At 47.6% G+C, this 19,000-nt stretch overlaps 1 protein-coding gene and 1 long non-coding RNA gene across 4 annotated transcripts in view; one reads left to right on the plus strand and one right to left on the minus strand.

The window, feature by feature from the left end:
* SLC6A11 (solute carrier family 6 member 11) overlaps positions 1-19,000 on the plus strand; it is a 124,487-nt gene that overhangs the window by 97,334 nt on the left and 8,153 nt on the right. For 2 of the 3 annotated variants that reach the window (NM_014229.3, XM_047448764.1), the window contains 3 exons: positions 4,768-4,892; positions 12,443-12,555; positions 15,641-15,778. In NM_014229.3, coding sequence (NP_055044.1) covers positions 4,768-4,892; positions 12,443-12,555; positions 15,641-15,778 — 376 coding nt within the window. Of the gene's footprint in view, positions 1-4,767; positions 4,893-10,357; positions 12,421-12,442; positions 12,556-15,640; positions 15,779-19,000 lie in introns of those variants that run through there. The other variant, XM_011534033.3, reaches the window with a different exon arrangement.
* Positions 1,505-15,164, minus strand: LOC105376950 (uncharacterized). Its single transcript, XR_940587.3, has 3 exons — positions 13,296-15,164; positions 5,191-5,260; positions 1,505-1,811 (listed from the first exon to the last, which is right to left on the minus strand). It is a non-coding gene; the product is annotated as an uncharacterized LOC105376950 (long non-coding RNA).

The raw sequence follows: 19,000 nt of genomic DNA on the forward strand, positions 1-19,000 counted from the left end.
ATTTTCTATAAGATTAACGAGCATCCCAACAACGTATGATACACAGGGGGTTTATATCCACAATATATAAAGAATACAAACAAGTCTATGGGAAAACACTAAAACACCAGTAAAAAAACAAGCAACACACTCTTTTTTTTCTTTTTCTTTGAGACGGAGTCTCGCTCAGTCACCCAGGCTGGACTGCAGTGGCACGATCTCGGCTCACTACAAGCTCTGCCTCCCAGGTTCACGCCATTCTCCTGCCTCAGCCTCCCGAGTTGCTGGGACTACAGGCGCCCGCCACCACGCCCGGCTAATTTTTTGTATTTTTAGTAGAGACGGGGTTTCACCGTGTTAGCCAGGATGGTCTTGATCTCCTGACCTCGTGATCTGCCTGCCTCAGCCTCCCAAAGTGCTGGGATTACAGGCTTGAGCCACGGTGCCCGGCCAACACACTCTTAAAATATTGAGTGTTTTTCCCAAGTCCTGTTCAGCATAGGTGAGGGTAGGTGAGCAGATCATGCCATACCCCTGCTGGTGGGACAGGAACTTGGAATTAACCACCACATCACTGGGTCATCATGTGGCTCGAGTGGCACCATGCATTTGAAAGAACTTTCACCGGTGATAGCGTCCCTCCCACATTACCCCATCTTTGAGACAGGGAAAGTGAAGCTGGTGGAGGTGGTACCTTGCTAGATGTGGCAGGGCCTTGACTCTGACTGGGGTCTCTCAGTGTCCATTCTGGCCTCCCCACTACATCCTTTCCGAGAGCTAGCTTAGCGGTCACATTATGAACTCACTTGTTAAGTCGGCAGTGTTTACTGTGTGTCTACTAAGTGCGAGGCCCTGGAATCGGTGCCATGGGAGCTGCAGACAGCAGTGGCACAGCCTATAGAGTTTGTAACTTGGGGAAATCAAGACAATGGGGAAGTTAATGTGGGCAGGTCCAACATGCTGAAAAGAGAAGCTATTGTAGAATCCAGTGTGCCATCAGGCCGCCGTGAGTTCTGCTTCTGGGGTTCTTTGGGTGAGAGGTATTTGGGTGACCGGATGACAATGAGATGCTAAAGACAGACAGAGCAGGCTGTCCAGAAGAAGGCATCTAGTTTTGTGGAGGATGTGGGCATGGGGGATGAGAAGTAAAGCTCTTTGTCAGCCATAATGAAAATGTTAACCATGGACAGGAAGAGAGAGAGAGGCACCCAGATAGGAAGAACAGCACATGCAGGCTTCCGGGCTGGGCCAAGTCTGACCCCCTTGGGAGTTCTTTCAAATGTACACTGTCTGTGTACAGTATCACCCCATCGGTGGCTTACGGTCAGCATGGGGACCTCTGTGCTGGGCCCTTCAGAGATCACTTGGTCACTGTCCCCTCCAGCTAGGCTGTCAGCACCATGAGGACGTGGGCTGGATGTTCTTGTTGTCTGCTGCATCTCTTGTACTTAGTTTAGTGCTGGCTTCCATGCAGGGCAGTCAGAAAGAAACCACCCCATTACATAAGCAAGGAGATGGTGGCCCGTGGAGCTCGAGTCCCTTACTCCTGTTCACATTGCCACAGATGGAGCGTGGCTTTTCACCTGAGTCTTCCTGGCTCTTGCACCCCATTCCTCACTACCAGGGGTGGCCAGCTCTTTCCCAGCTACTGGAGTTGAAGAGGGTTTGGCCAAAACTGCCTTGTCTCCAGCCTGTGTCTTGGGGCAGTGGCAGCTTCATTCCCCACTGAGTGCGTGGAGGATGTATGCTGTCAGCCATGGGTCCCTTCTGCTTCCCCCTCCAGCAGGCAGGTTTTATTCCATCTCTCCCATCAGCAGAAGAAAGCAAATCCCCTGGGTGGCAATGCAAAAATTAGAAAATTCATTTTATTTCCTTTTCCAAATTGTTCTGCAAGTGGGTCTTCTCAACTCCAGTGGAGTAAATTAGTACCCTCTCTCCTGACAGCATAATAGCTTCTGGAGGTCTTAAAAGCCCAGCTCAGTGCCTGCCGACTTCAAAGCACTGTTACATAAGCGTTTTACCTAGACGTGGGAGCTGGGGAAGGAATTAGAGGGATGGAAATGGGAGCGAGCCAGGCAGGGAAAATCCTCACTTCCGAAGACACCACTAAGCCCTGTCTGCTTGAAGGGGTGGGTGTTCTGAGGACTGGAGGGGAGGAGGGACTGGTCATGCATGGGGCTGGAAGGGACCTCAGGTCCCTAAAGAGCTTCTCTGTCTCTCCTTCTGTCTCTCCATAATGTGAGGAAGTCACTCAACAGACCTGTGCAGGAAGATGGGAATTTTTTAACAAGGGACAATTTGTTTTTCAACACCTGTGTGGATGCCCAGAGACAATTTTTTAAAGTGAGGATTTGTTCATCTTAATTTTTAGGGTGCATCATTTTTGTTTAGCTCCTAGCAAAAGCATGGGCTTTGATCTATGTGACTCATCTCCCTCAGCCTCAGGATTCAGTGAAACCTAGTCCACGGCTGGCATACTGCAGGTCCTGAAAGCATCACGTGGGAGAATTCCAGAATGGAGAGGCTGTAGACAAAGGCTTTCCTCCCTGGTATCATCCAATGTCCACTATTTGATAAGTCAGGGCCATTTTGCCTCAGACTTCAGGAAACAGGCACAAGGAGCAGATGTATCCCAACCTTAGGAATAACTAACTCTGCCCTTGCCTGGGCATAGCTGAATTTCTTTTTGAGCAGAGGTAAATCAGACTTGCAGATAAAGTCCCCACTTATACCAGCCCAGCCAGCATTCACAGTACCAGAAGAGTTATTTGAAGGGACCTGTATCAGTCATCCATGGCCACAATACTGCTATGTAACAAACAACCCCAGCACACAGGGGTTGACCACAGCAAGTGATTGCTTGTATTGCTCACAAGTCTGCTGGTCAGCTGAGGAGACTCTCCTGCAGGCTGTAGACTGAAAGACCCTGGGTTTGGCTCCAAGGTCCAAGCCAGGCTCAAGTCAGCTCCACGTGTGTACATTCTGGGGTCCAGGCCGAAGGGGTAGCAGCTCCCCTGGGGAAGTTCTCATAGAAAATCACAGAAATGATATAGGACAAATCCAATCATGCAAGCCCATCTCAAGCCTCTGTTTATGTCACATCTGCTAACATCCTGTTGTCCAAAGCAAGTCATGTGGCTAAGCCCAAAGTCAGTGAGGGCAGGGAAATATACTTCACTCCAAGGAAGAAGGTTGTGAGAGTGATTCCTTGCTGAAAAATGATTTGATCTAGCGCAAGGTCAAGAAATTCTGTTATCCAAGCACCTTGTATAGCCAGTGAGATCAGGTTCGAAGAAAAAATATTGCAGGGAGAATTGGAACCCAAGGCTCTCGACCACCAGTTCAATGCTCTCTCTACTTTACCCTTGATTCCTAGGGTCATTGCAAGGCAACAGGGTGTTAACAACCAAGAACAACATTAATGTAACCTTTGGTTGCTTTATAAAAACTATGATGTCAGAAGAAGAGGAGGTGAGAGTCCTGGTGTGTTGTTGAGAATAGTTCTGGATGTGACAATTGAGGAGGGACTGGATAAGCTGGAGTGTATTACAGATTTCAAGCACAATAAGGAATTGGTAAGGGAACTGGAATGTGTAACACAGAACAAAAAACTCAAGGGGCTATAGGGCCATTATCTTCAGATCTCCCAAGCCTGAAGGAACTCCAGGCTGTTTTGGAGGGTAAAGCTAACTTTATCAGAGAGAACAAGCATGGGTGAATACAATATGAGAAAGTTCTTAGCACGCTAAGCAGTAAGAGCTGTCCAACAAGGGGAAAGTACCACTGGAAAAAATGGCTGGCTCCTCATGCCTGGGTGTGCAAGCAGAGGTCAGCCGGCCACCCGCAGGGATGCCATGGAGGCTAGTCATGCCTCTGGCAGGAGGTTGAACAAGGTCACCTGGCAGCTCCTCCCCTATAAAATGGGGTATTAACATGGATTGTATGCCTAAGTCTCAGTCCAGGCACTACAGTGGTTGAAATTCTAACAGGCTAACTTCCTGACTTGGTGATTTTAGGATGCTGGGCCTGAGGCAGGACAGGCCGGGACTCGAGGGTACCGTCTTCATCTTGACAAAGTTCCATTGTTTCTAGTCTGATTTCTCCTGGGCCATGGCTTTATGCTGGTGCTTCTTAGCTGGTGAGTCCCCCCGCTCCCAAGAGCAGGGGACAGTCACTGCTCTGATAAACCTCTCCATGCAAGGGTTCAACCTGGAAGGGGCTGCTCGCTCACAGCAGCAGAGCAGAGCCAGACTGCGGTCTGGCAGATGCTGCTCCAGTAAACAGCTTGGCCAGGAAGAATGTCACCATAAAGCCTCTCCCCCGGAGGCTGCCGGAGCTTCAGGTGCAAGGCCCATGGTTTCTCCCCTGGCTGAGAAGCCCCCATTTCTCCCATGGAGGCTTCTCCTGCCCTCCTTGCTTTGAGCTCCCAGGAATACTTTCCCAGCCTTTCTCTCCTACCAGGGACTTGGAGGAGCGTCGGTGTGTTTCAGAGTATTTTCTCATTAGTTCTGCATTTTCCCATATGCCAGCCTCCCTTCCCATGCTGGCTCTATGCTTCTGATTCGTGACCTACCTTACCTTCTAGAAATTCAGGAGAAGCTGTGTGACCATGGGCCAGCCACCTAACCTCTCTGAACCATGAGTGCTCCATCAGAAAAACAGAGCTCCCTGTGCCTGCACTTCCCTGCCTGCCTCACAGGACAGCCATGGTGCTCGGGTGGAGAACGTTTGAGCCGTGCACCGGTTCTGCCCGCTCTGACCCTAGTGCCTCTCGCTGCTTCCCCACAGGGACTGCATCATGCTCTGTTGCCTGAACAGCGGCACCAGCTTCGTGGCTGGGTTTGCCATCTTCTCAGTCCTGGGTTTTATGGCGTACGAGCAGGGGGTACCCATTGCTGAGGTGGCAGAGTCAGGTAAGTTCGCCAAAGGTGGGGATGGAAAAGGCGGCAAGGGAGGCCAGGAGTGATGGTCATCATGGAAATGCGATCTTCCTCCTCGGCTCACACATCTCCTGGATTCAGGCCTCAGAAAGGGGCCCCACCATTCATCCACAATCCAGGATCCTGGGAATTACCTAGGAGGAAAGTCTCGACACCTCCTCCCTCCCAAATCCAAGGCATCCCCGAGTTTTGTAGATGCTGTTGCCCACTTCATTCATTTCTCCCAAGCTTCACCGTCTCCCCACTAGCCCGGACCACCATCACTGCTCACCTGGATGGCTCAGAAACCTTTCCCTGGACTCTGTGCCTCTGCTGTTGTCACTTCCACTCCATGCTCTACCCTGCAGAGGGATTTTTTTTTTTCAAAATGCAAATTTGAACATGTCTTCTCTGATGAAAAGCCTTTCTTGGCTTCTCATAGTGCTGGACTCAGCGTGGCCACAAAGCCCTGTGTTGCCCGGCTCCTGTGGCCCCACCAGCCTCACCACCTACGATTCCCCCACACTCACTCGGTCCCACCACAGCGGTCTGCTTCACTTCTGCAAGTTAACTCTCTCCTCCTCCCTCAGGGCCTTTGCACATGCTTCCCCTTTGCTTGGAGAGCACCTCTCCCTCCCTCCCTTTCCCTGTTCTAGACATAGAATCACCATGAGTGTGACAGCCTTAAGTATAGATTGACATGTGTTTGTAGCAAACCCACCAAGAGCAGGGTTATCATTGTTTGAGTGATTGTGCAAAATGGTGAAAAACTCTTTCCGTGATTTCCATGGTATTTGAATTTCCAGAAAATTAAGTGCATATGAAAAAGTACATAGTTTGTGTTTACATGACAAATGGAGTCTAACCTCAGATAAGTATAAATAGGTTTTTCACCTACAAGCATGTCCAGTGGGACATATTTTTTAAGACCAGCACAGGGCATCTGGCCTCCCTGGCCTCCGTCTACTCAAGGCCAGTCCTGCCCCAACTCATTGTGACAACTGACCCACCTCCCTCTCAAGCCCCAGTCCAGGGTGTGGCTATTTAGGTTTGGCATGTGCAGTCAGGGAAGCACCCCTCTGACCCACCAAAATAGGCAGGCCAAGGGGTGTGGATGTCAAAGGAGGCAGCTGATCAGCAAGCTCTGCTCCATGACTGTTCAGAGTCCACCTTGCTCTTGGTCATGTTTATCAGAGATGCAAGGGCCCCTGAGGAAATCAGGCGTACAAGCTAGACCAGAGGATACGAGTATGATCAAAGCTCTCAATCGCTGGGCACCTATTCACTGGACAGGAACTGTTACACACATCATCTCACATGATGCTCAGCTCAGCCCTCTGAAGTGGCATTTTTGCTACCCCCATTTTACAGATGGGAAAACTGAGGCTCAGGGACGTGAGGTCACTTAACTAAGGACACACAGGCTGGAAGCAAGAGAGCTGGAACTTAATCCAGGCCATCTGGCTATCAAACTCATGTACTTCCCACTCCATCCCACTGTGGCTGGGGCACCTAGCCCTTCACAAAACACCTCTGCATCTTCCTCATATTCAACCACAGGCAGCCCTGCGAGGAGGGATCATTGCCTTCTCAGTAGTAGCATTGCTTCTGTGAGAATCCATGTCCTCCTCTGTAAAGTGCGCACCCTGAAACTCCCTCGCAGTGTTGCATGAGACAGAGTATCCACAGCACTGCTGTTGCTCATTTTATCATTGCTTCTGTTTTGGAGGGGAGTCCCAGAGAGGAGTAATAGGAAGAAAAAAATCCAACTAAAATTAAATTTTGGACTTTTTCTTATTCAAATTGAAAGAATACTCATTGTGGAAAAACAGAGAAACATTAACAGAAGAAAAAAAAATTCAAATCCAACGCAACACCTTGGGGTTATCCCGCTAGGATTTTTCATACATATGTAGCTATAAGCGTGGTGATCAAAACTGGATCATATTATCCTTGGCATTATGTAGGCTGAGTTCTTCCATTTATAATAAAGCATGAGGAGCTTACCCCTCAGTAAAAATAGATTGCTATCATTGAGTTGTGTGGTATTCCATTGAATTGATACACTGGAATTGACTTTCTCTGTCCCACTTGTCAGGCCGTAAGATAGTTGTTTTTTCATATACTACCTCATGAAATGCTCCTGGCACCTCTGCAACATAGGTTTTACCAGGGCCTCCACTCGTGGCTGTGCAGACTATGCCCTGCACAACTCCAGCAGGCACTATTCACACAGCAGTCCTAGCTTTTACAGTGCCTATCACAGACGAGGACCTTGTAGCTGAGAAAGATGAAGTGGTTCATCCAAGAGCATGTAGTCCATAAGCAGTGCAGCCTGGATCCGGTCTCTTCTGCCTTGCTTTTTTGTGTTGCTGTTGGCATCAAGCAGGAAAACCTGCTCTGTGCCTCTGGTTGGGGGTGTGGATCACACCAAGACCCTCTTTAGGAGTCTGCCAATTGGAGAAAATGCAAGTTACAGCTGAATATGTAGTCACCTCACCTTTCTCAGAAGGACCTGGGCTCACTTTCTGAGGCATGATTTTTGGAAAATACTTAATTAGATGCCAGAACACTCAGTGGGATGTCCCAGAACACTTCGGAGACTGAGCCAGGGAGACAGAATGTACTATTTGCAGGGTTCAGATTTTGTTCTGTTCTAAGCCTAGTGCCTGAGATTTGCTGACCTTCCCTGCATGCCCTGCATCTGTCTCTCTGATGCTGTTACACTCAGGATGCTCTCTTCTAGGGGAATGATTTTACACAGCTTATAGTTGGGTCTTGCTTCTTTATCCAGCCTAATAATCTCTTAACTGGAGTATGTGGTCCACTTGTATTTTGTAATGATTGATGTGGTTAGGTCCTGAGGTCTGTTTTAGGGCAGAAAATGTCAGAATAATAATCAGAAGTGGGAAGTGTCAGATGTGTGGTGGAAGTGCAAAGTGATATGTTATTAACTCGAATAAGTTATGACATATAGTCTTGGTCCAATTGTTTAGAGAAAAATAATAAGAGGTAGAGCTAAAAAGCTAGTAGATGAAACAAAATTGAAAATTAAAAATATTTATTAACCCAAAAGAATGCGGGAAAGTGCCACAGAGTAAAACTAAACAAAATAAGCAAAGAAAAACAGAAAACCAAAAGAAAACAAATGCAAAATAGTAGACTTAAATCCAACCATATTCTTATATTAAATTTAAATGGACCAGATACACTAATTAAAAGGCAGAGATTATCAGACCAGATTTTTTTTAAAAAAAGACCCAACTATAACATGTCTAAAAGAGACACACTTTGAAGACACAGATAAAGTATAAAAGAATGGGAAAAGATATACCATTCAAACAATAAACATAAGAAAACTGGCTTGACTATTAGTGTGGACAAAGTAAACTTCAAGTCAAAAAATATTAGCAGAGATAAAGAGGAACACCTCATATTGATAAAAGGGGCAATTCATTGAGAAGACATAACAATCCTAATGAGTTTGTACCTGAAAGCAGAGATTTGTTATATAGGGAGCTAAAACTGATAGAACTGGAGGGGAAAACAGACAAATCCACAAGCATAGTTGGAGATTTTAACACCCCTCTTTAACTAATGATAGAACAATTATATGAAATGTCAATAAAGACATAGAGATCTGAACAATACTATCAACCACAATGACTTCATTGATATTTATCAAACAGTGCACTCAGTGCCTGCAGAGCACAATTCTTTTCCAGTGGACATGGAACATTCACCAAGATAGACCATATACTATGCCATAAAACAAGCATCAATGTATTTCATGAAATTGAGACCCATTAATATAATGCACCATGTTAATAGATCTAACAAAAAAACATAAGATTAGCTTCATCAATGCTTAAAAAGCCTTTAACAAGATTTGACACCCATTTACAATATAAAATAATCAAGAAAATAGAAATTGAGGAGTACTTTTTGAAATGGTGTGTGTGTGTAAAAGTTTTTAAAAAGCAGATATCTATAGTATCCTACCCATTATGTGAAAAAAGAAGGGGAGAAGAGAAAATATGTCTACTCATTTGTGCAAAAGAAATACAGAAAGGATTAACTAGAAACAAACAAGGATGGTTACCTTCAGGGGTGGTCGGAAAAGGGGTGGAAAGAAGGGAGGAATGGGAATGAGGGAGGAAGAATGAGAAGGAAGCAGTGCTTCCCTGAATATATCATTTTTTTTATTAGCTCTGAGTCTTGGTAATGTTTCACATACCACTCAAACAATGATTTTTTTGTGGTGGAACCCTAAATGGAATACAAACAGTAACAAATGAACCTAACTGTACTACAAATGAAAACTGTCACCATGCTAAAGGGAATGGGGAAGGAAAAACTAACCTATGTAACTTTGAGAAACAGCATCTTGACTGGATATTTTAAGGCTAAAGACAAAAATAACGATACTGTGCTCCAGTTAGTACAGGGGTAGCAATTCCACAACTGTTGTAAGTGTGTATATTAGGATTGAACAAATAGGTAAATATTTTATAGATAATTAGTCAGATTTTTCACTGAGAAAGAAGTTATAAATAAGGAAAGGAGAGATGCTAGAATGTCTTTTATTGGAATTGGAAGTATCAATATATTAAAATTCATGGTTTTCATCTATGTACAGATAGATATAGAAATATTCATGTGTATATGCATGGATAAATATACATATATTTCCTATCTTTGTGTGCTGAGAGGGCCTAAAAGCAATAATACTCCACAGTTATGAGCACACCTAGGGCTCAGATCTTGGTTTCTAAACACTATTCTTCAATTAAAAAAAAAAAAAACACAGGGCTCCTTGGCAAAACAGTTGATTTCCGGGCTAGGGCAAGACAAGGTGAAGCTAGAACATTTTTGTGATGCCAAAAAATAAGGAAGTGCTCAGAAAGAAAGGTTTGAGGCTTGTCAAAAAGCCATGGAAATCAACCTGAAGGAACTCCCAATGGTTAAAACTGAAATAACTTGAACAGCAAAATAAATGATAGTATTGGATTTTAACCCATAGAATAAACTACTCAGGAGTCCACATTCACATATATAAATAATTGAATAAATAAATGGTGTGAAAGGACAGCTATTCCTTGGAGAAGAATTATAATTAATAAATATAGAAGGAATGAGGGAAATATCAAATCACCATTAGGCAAACACCATTGTAATCATGGTTGCAGGCAAGACCCACCAATGGATACTAAAATCAGTAGGTAAAAGTTGGAGTAGAAACAGGATTTTTTCATAATCTCAAAATATTTCCTCCTGCAGGAGCGTTAACAATTACAAAGAGAAAAAGAGTAATGTTATAGTGGAGAAACCTAGCAGACAACAGTTTAACCTTAACCTTAAGTGATCAAGGTAAACATCACCAGTAATAATATTGATTGACATGTACCCCCGATATAATACACCAGAAAGGATATAACATCACTGCTGTGGTTTTCTAGCCAAAAGATGCACAACCTCACCATAAGTCATGAGGAAACATCAGACCAACCCACATCAAGAGACATTCTGCAAAACAACAACCAGAACTCATCAAAAATGTTGAGTTTAGCAAAGACCAAAAAAAGACTAAGGGACTGCCACAGACTGGAGAAGACTAAAGAGATACAACCAATAAACGCAATGTGGAGTTCTGAATTAAATGTTGGAACAGAAAAAAAGGGGGCAAAAGGAGAAAAACTGGCAGAATATGAATAAGCTCTGTGGCGTAATTAATGGTATTATACCAATATTAATTTACCAGTTATTAAATATTGAAAGTGTTCCCCTAAAATCAGAAACAAAGCAAGGATGTATGCTGTCTCTGCCTCTATACCATATGGCAATGAAGTTCCTAGAGAGTGCAATAAGGCAAGAACAAGAAAAATAATTAGAGGGAAGAATAAAAATTTTCTTGATAAACATACTGACCGAGTCAAAAATCCTAAGGAACCTACAAAAAAAGTAATAAGTGAACTTAGAGAGGTCAAAGGACAAAATAGATAAAATATATTATACTTCTTTACATGCTAGCAGGAGACAATTGGAAAGTTTTTAACTTCTGCTCTTCACAAGACGCCATTAAGAAAATGGAAAGGCAAGCCACAGACTGGGAGAAAATATTTGTAATAACTCCTCTGACAAAGGATTTACATCCTAAACATATAAAGAACGCTCACAATCAAATAAAAAGAAAACAACCTAATGAAAAAAAAAGGACCAAAAAATCAAGCCATCACTTCACAAAAGAAGACATATGAATAGACAATAAACATGTGAAGATACTCGATGTCATTAACTATCAGGGAAATGCAAATGAAAACTATGATATAACATCTCACTCCCACTGTAATGACACATCTTAAAAGACTGACAATATCAAGTGTTGACAAGGATGTGGAGCCACTGGAAATTGGAAACATTGCTGGTAGGACTGTAAAATGGCAAAGCTACTTTGAAAATCAGTTTGGAATTTCTTAGAACGTTAAACATATGATTGCCATATGACCCAGCAATTCCACTTCTAGGTAGAATAGGCAAAACTAGTCCGAGGACGAAAAAAAATTGAATTGATGGTTGCCCAACGTGAAGAGGAGGAACGGAGGCGAAGAGACAGCAAGGGGCCTCAAGGGGCCAATGGCAGTGTTCTATAGCTTGATTGCCATGGCTTGATTGTCGTGGTGGTTATCTGGGTGTATACACTTTTTAAAACTTCATCAAACTATGTATGTAAATTATACCTTAATGAAGCTGCTCTTTAAAGTAAAAAATCATCAGATTTCATGTCTATTAAGCATTTACCTGCTTCAGTGCTTTCCATTTATTGTGTCATCTCACTGAATTCTCAAAACCACTTTTTTTAGATAGGACTTTATTATCCCCATATTTCAGCTAAGAAAACAGATTTGAGCCCAGGCCACCTGGCTACAGAGCCTGTGCTGTTGACCACTGTGCCACAGGGCTAGCCTCTCAGGTATCTGTCTGCTGACATTGATAAAGTTCATCCCGAGGACACGTTAACCCAGCCTTCTATGTGCAGCAACTAAAACAAGGGAGTGTAGACCTGGAAATGAGAGTGGAAACCAGAGGAAGAGGCTGCCAGGGTGGAAGAGCATTTCTCCAGCCTGGACCCGACCTACGTACACCACAACCACTGGGTACCTGGTCCTTGCCTCCCCCTGGGCAGACAGAGTCAGAATCGCTGGGTAGGCCTGAGAATCTGCATTTTAACAAGAAACTGCACCTTCCCCCTTGAGAACAGTAGAGACATGTCCAGAGGAAGGTCCATGGATCAGCTGAACCTAGGCTTGAATCCTGACCCTTCCAAGGCCCTTGTTTACCTCTTTCTGCCTCAACTTGCTCATCTGCAAAATGGGCATCAGAATAGCACCAAACGCATGGGGTGGCTGGGAAACAGAAGTGATTTGAGTGAGAGGCAGGCACAGTGCCTGGCGCAGAGGAGGCACTCAGTAAATGCTGGATTAAAATAGCAATGATATGAGGGATGGGACTCCACCCAGTGGCTTTCTCTCTCTCCCTCGCTCCAGGCCCCGGCCTGGCCTTTATTGCGTACCCCAAGGCGGTCACCATGATGCCTCTCTCCCCGCTGTGGGCCACCTTGTTCTTCATGATGCTCATCTTCCTGGGCCTGGACAGCCAGGTAAGGGGCCATGGGGATGGGGAGCCCAGGAGGGAGGGGAGCCTGGGCCAGGAGGCCAGACGCCACCCTTAGGAGTGGCTCCCCAGGCCCAGCCACTCCCACCTGGCCCTGGCATCAGGGCCCTGCCCACCGTCCCCCATTCCACCCTCCACTTCCCTCCCAGCAACTCTTGCACCCCCGCCATCCACCAGGTGGGCTCTACACTTACCCACAAATGTCTGTTCCGGCCCCTCTAAGCCTTCCCAAACACTGTTTTCCTTACCGGAATTCCCAACTCTCAATTCACATTTAGAAAAATTTGCTAAATACTTCCCTTCTGCTCAACCACTCCTGCCAACAGCACTGCCTGGCACAGCAGAAGAGAGTCTCAGAGAGTGAGTTCCACAGCATGCATGTCCCCATCCCAACCCAATCATTGAGGACACGGACACATAGAAAAGCACCTCCTCTTCCTCCATCTCTGTCCTGGATGCCACCACCAGCTCTGCCCCGCCACCGCCTGCCTGTCTCTGTGCTCGGCCCTCCCTAGAGGCCCCTTGCCAACCTCCCCCTGCTTGGCAGCCTCCTTCCCTGGCGAAGGGGGTAGACCTGGAGCTAGTAACTCACCCATGCACTCGGTTTCCCTTTGTTGCCACACAGCACGCAGGCGCTCGCTTCCCGCACTGAGCACACTCCAGACTCCCATCCCAGGTCCCCGGCCTCTTTCCCAGACCATTCCCCCAACAGTCCCTGAAACCCACCCTTTGCCTGCTGGTCCTCACAGCTGTTTTCCCTAGGAGCCCTGGAGAACTTCCCCCAGCCACAGCCTCCCCGCCTCGGAGACTGGGGTCTCTTGGCCAACCAGTGCTGTGCTGTGCAGGGGCCTCTGCAGGCAAAGCAGTCAGACCCCCAGGGAGACACACCCAGCCCAGCCTGTGGGAGTGCCGCCCTCACCCATGACCTTCTGCCAGTTGAGTCACTTGGCACCCAAGCCCCACAGCCAGTATATCTGTCAAGCCAGCCAAGTCCAATTCAATTTCTTCCTCTGATCGGTTTCCCAGAAGCTGCTAAGCCAAATCACCGGGTGTTTCTGCTGATAATCTTCCCTTATTGTTGCTGTTGCGGGCAGAGGTCTCGGAGGGATTGGCAGCTTATGCGTGACAGGCCAGGCCTGCCTGGCAGAGGGAGGCAGGGGCTGGGGCCCCGGCTCGGCGAGTCCCTGGGCTGAGCTAAACCAGCAGTTGGGCCTGGGGGCCCGAGGTCTGGCACAAAAAGTGGCGGCCACTCTGCCTATCCCCATGCGTGCTGCCCTTGCTGTGTGCCTTGGATATATTCTCAGTTCATTGTCACAATAACCACACGGGCTGGGGGCTCCTTTCATTGTCTGCATTTTATAGAAGAAGAAACTGAGGTTCAGAGATACTGAGTGACTTGCTCGGTCGTGTACCCGGGCCCGTCTGCCTCTTGGCCTACACACTGCAGTGTCTCATCAGTTTCAATCCTGGATAAACAACCTCCTTTGCATCCCATCCTCTTCCCTAGGACCTGGAGAAAGGATAGACAGAGCCAGCCCTTGCTGCTGAGGCGGAGCAGCTGCGAGGCCATAGCCTGGGCTTGAGTCCCAGCCCCATGACTTGCCAGCTGTGTGCCTTGGGCTAGTCACCTCGCCTCTCTGTGCCTCATTCCCTTTGTCTGCACAAGGAGTATTGAAACACCTTTTCTGGGGAGGCAGAGGTGAATCAGAAAGGATTTGGAGCCGACAAATAGCTCCAGGGAAGGGGTGCTTCCCAAAAAGGTGGCTGGCAAAATAACCCTTAACTCCTCCTCCCTCCCTCAAGGCAGGGCAGTGGGGTGGGTAAAGCCCAGCTCTGGAGCAAGATCACCTCGTTCAAATCCAGGCTTTGCCACTTATCGCCTGGGTGACCTTGGGTAAATTGCTTACTCCCTCCTCTGTGCTTCTGTGTCTTCATTTACAAAATGGGAATAATAATAGTACAGACCATGTAGAGACTACATAAGTTAATGTATGCCAACTGCCTAAAACAGCCTGGCACATCGCAGGTATGATATGTTTGCTATTATTCGTGTTATTATTATTAATTTAGCAAACATTTCCTGAGCCTCTCCCTCCTCTGTGCCAGGGGCCCTGAGCTAGACACAGGAAATAGACAGATGACAATGATGTGGCCCCTTCCCTCCAGGATCCCACCTGCTTGTAAGGAGACAGATATAAGCAGGAAAGGGCCCCCAGGGTGAGGGGTGTGCTCAGGGCGCAGAGGAGAGGGATGGGCTGTCCTGAGTGGGGGACAAGAGTGATCAGGAAAAGGTTCATGCAGATCTGCCCCCAGTGCCATAAGAACCAGGTGAGGGGGTGGTCGGTATCTTAGGATATTCAGGCTGGCTGTTAATGGGTGGGTAGGAACTGGGCAGATACCTTGTACCTGGCCCTGTGCTTAGCACACGGGATACAGATGCTTAGTGGCTCAGACTCAGCCACTGATGCCTGCATCGTTTGGCTGGGGCCCAAAGACACCCAGCAGAGACAAAGAGCTGGAAGTTGGCTCACCTCTGATTGCCCTCCACCAGCAGAGGGGCCTCATCTGCCAGAAAGAAAGGGCAGGGAAGCGTCCCAACCCCGGAGACCACAGAGACAGACCAGAGCCTGCCATCAGCAGAGCACGTAACTCCCACTACAGGCACAGAAATCCCAGCCTTGCCTCAAGGGCAGGGGCTGGTCTCATTTAAGTTGTCGACCCCAGCACAGAGCCCAGCATGTAGGCATGTGACAGGCAGCATGCGGGAGAAGGAGGAGTACTAGATTTGGAGTCTGGAGACACCAGCTCAAGTCCTGACTGCCACGTCCTTGCTGAATAATCCTGGGCAGGTCACTCCCCACCTCTGAGCCTCAGCGTCGTCATCTGTTAAATGGGCATGACTGGAGCTCCGCTAGTGCTGGGATGACTGTTATCCTCAGGCCCCTCGTCTGCATTAATGGGTGTGGGAATGAAGGAAGCCCAGGGTTCAGGCCTGCTGCGCTTGCCCAGAGCCTGGGCCACCAGGAGCAGCCTTGTCCTTGAGTTTCACACCATCATATCTCCCCATCCAGTTTGTGTGTGTGGAAAGCCTGGTGACCGCCGTGGTGGACATGTACCCCAAGGTTTTCCGGAGGGGTTACCGGCGGGAGCTGCTCATCCTAGCCTTGTCTGTTATCTCCTATTTTCTGGGCCTCGTGATGTTAACAGAGGTGAGTGGCATGGTTCGGGCCGCACGGGGTGAAGTGGGTGTGTGACGTCAACTCCCAGCTCTAAAAGTGACCAGCTGTGTGACCCGGGTCAGGTCTAGTGCCCTCTGCCACTCGGTTTATGCTTCCTCCTAGCGGGTCATGGTGAGGATCTAATGGAAGTTCTCATCAGGCCCTCAGCACAGTGTCTTCATGTGCAAGTGCTCAGCTAAAGGCCGCGGCTGTTATTCACAGAGGGGAGTCACACTCACCAGGGGAACGCTGGGTTGATCTGTCATGGTGAGCACATGGACTCCTGGGCCATCCCTAAGAATAACTTCTGGGTGAAGCAACAACGTCAGCTACTGGCCCCTACAGCATTTACCTATGAGTGGTCTCACGTTCAAAGCAGGCTTTTCTGGGCATCTCTGAGAAGAGGCTCCCATGATGATATTGGCACCTTTGGGCACCATGTGCACCAGCCTGGGACTTCTATGCGTGCCCCTCTTCTCATTGTCCCTGCTGGGCTTGCAGGTTAGGAGAGGTTCTCCATGACCTCCAAATTAAGACCATCTGATAAAACCATATTTTTCTCCCCCACCTCCCATAGCCATCCTGTCAAATAAATACCTTCTTATGTATCTTGGGAAGGTAACATTAGGTATTTTTCTCCCCATATACACAAAATTAATTAATTTAAAAACAAAAAAAAGAACTGTTGCCTAGAAACAAGAATAGGTTTTGTAAGAAACATGGAAAGAAATGAGGGAACTCAGAATCACTAAAAGCAACTGATGTAATATTGAAGTCAGGCTAGAAAGCATTTGGGTTCATGCCACCTTGTTGCATCTACTCATCCCCCCACTTTCCAACTCATATGCTGCCTCCTCCTGGAAGCCTTCTTAGCTTGCCTTCCCTCATTCATGCCCCCAGCTCCTAGCACTTTGTTTGTAGCTCAGTTCAGTCTCTTCTTCCCCATTACCACGATCTATGGTCCACCTGTTCACCTGTCTCCCCCACCAGACCTCAGGGGCCGTGAGAACAGGAGCCAGCCCTTGCTTGGCTTCATGCCCTCAGAGCCAATTCAGCACCTGGCATGGGGTGGGTGCTCGGTGCACAGTGGCTGGCATCATTACCTCGCCCAGTCATTGTCACATTAATGAGAGTGATAATCAGTGTTGGAGCAAATAAATGGTACGGTGCTTCCCAGTTTCCACCTCACTTCTCCCCACTCGGAGAAACCAGGCGCTGCAGTAAGCAGGGCCTCATTAAGCACTGATTAATTAGAGTCTCTCGTCACAGTCTTGTCACATACAAATTTGGGGGTTAGCCTGATGCGTTAAAGAGGCTAACGGACAGAATTCCAAGAGGAGCAGATGTTGGCACGGGCATCAGCTGCTTGGAGAAGGCAGGTGGTGGAGGGTGCTTCTTGAACTGCCTGCCCCAGGTGCCCCCAGCTCACCGAGTCTCTGATACCCAACCTCTGACTGAGGCCTCACATCTGCCCAAGGGGTGTTTCATGGCCCCCAGAGGCCATCAGGGAGCCAGCGCCACAGTCACCCAAGACTGTTAATCAGCAGGCGCTGGGGCTTCACATGCCAACCTTCCGCCTTCTCGGAGGACTATCTGTCATCAGTTGCAGTGGAGAAGTTCAAATTGCCAAATGGGCCGTGCCACCTTGGCCTTCATGGTAATTACTGGAAGGAACTTTCCCTCCTTATACACATTTAAACTCAGCTCTAAGAAAAATAGGCCACAAACTTCTTTTCTTCCACCAAGGCAGTGTGATGAGTGGTTGAGAGCATGGGCTTTGCAGACAGATGACCTGGGTTCAATCCTCAGCCCTTGACTAGCTGGCTAGATGACCTGCAGAAGGTGTTGTCGCTGCTCCGTGCCTCAGTTTCCCCATGTGAACAGTGGAGATAACACTAGTGCCTGCCTTGTAATTGTACCATGAAGGACCAACTGGATTAAGACACAGGAAGCGGTTTAACACAGCCTGCTACTTGCTGAATGCTGCATTAAGGTTTCTTTGTTCCTTTGTAGAGTATGATGTTCATGGGAGGAGAGCAACGGGAGGTGGGGGCGGGTCTTAGGTATTAACTCAGAAATACAAGCCCCGTACTCCACAGAGAGGTGCCTCAGACCTGCTCCTGACCCCCACAGACCTGAATATTCACTGTAGTTGTCACAGATGGGAGAACCCAGGCCAGGCATGGCCCGCTGAGAGATCCATTTTGTTTCACCCTCACTGTGTTTTTTAAAAACACGAAGTTGCCAACAATTATAACAGAAAAATTTCCCATACAAATCTGCGTTTCTGGTGTCTTCCAGAAAATCTGCAGATCTGGCCTCACAGCTGCATTCCCCAGCAACTGCCCTCCAGAGGTGTGTAGCTAGATGGGGCCCATACTCCCCAGTTAGCCATGGTCCCCACCACTCCCTGGTACCACACCCACCTCCCTTTTCTCATTCGTATCATCTGTCTGGCCTTGTGGGCATTGAGATGTTTCTCCCTGTCTAGATGAAGACATGAACGAGTCCCATGGTGTGTGGTCTGTGAGTGACAGGAGGAGGCCCAGGGCACTCTGGGAGCACAGAGGGGAAGCAGAACTCCAAGGAAGTCCCCATGGCAGGCGCACAGGAGGCTCTCCAGGTTTCATTCCAGCCCCCTAATGCACTGTCCTGGTATTCAGGCTACCCCACCCCACCTGATCCTTCCTAGCTCTTTGACACTTTTATTTCCCCTGCGTTTGATTGCATCCTCTAAGGACCCTCATTGTATTGTAAAGATTTTCTTTAGAGACCCCCGCTCTCCCTATATCTGCAGCTGGTGTCCTCTCTCCTCCCCTCCCTCCTAGAAAACCTTCCCAGATTACCTTGGTCAGCTGAGCTCACACATTCTAGGACATCACTAAACTCAATCATCATGGATTTGTATGCTACAGAGCTGGTCTGTGGTCATTTCTTCATCCCATGAAGATGGACCACATACCTCCTGCGTGCCAAGCCCTGGGCCAGAAACTGGGACCCAGCACTGGACAAAGCCAGTTGGACTCCCTACCCTATGGAGATCACACTCCACAGGATTTAACTTACGTTTATCACCACCTACTGTGCACCAGCCCCACTCCCCTCTTTTTTTAATTGTGAGCCCACAAAACATGCTATGAAGGCCCAAAGAAAGAATGAGACCATTAGAAAGGGCTTCCTGAAGGAGGTGGCATTTGATCTGAGCTTTGAAGG

Source organism: Homo sapiens, chromosome 3 (genome assembly GCF_000001405.40).
Source record: "Homo sapiens chromosome 3, GRCh38.p14 Primary Assembly".
Lineage (NCBI taxonomy): Eukaryota > Metazoa > Chordata > Mammalia > Primates > Hominidae > Homo > Homo sapiens.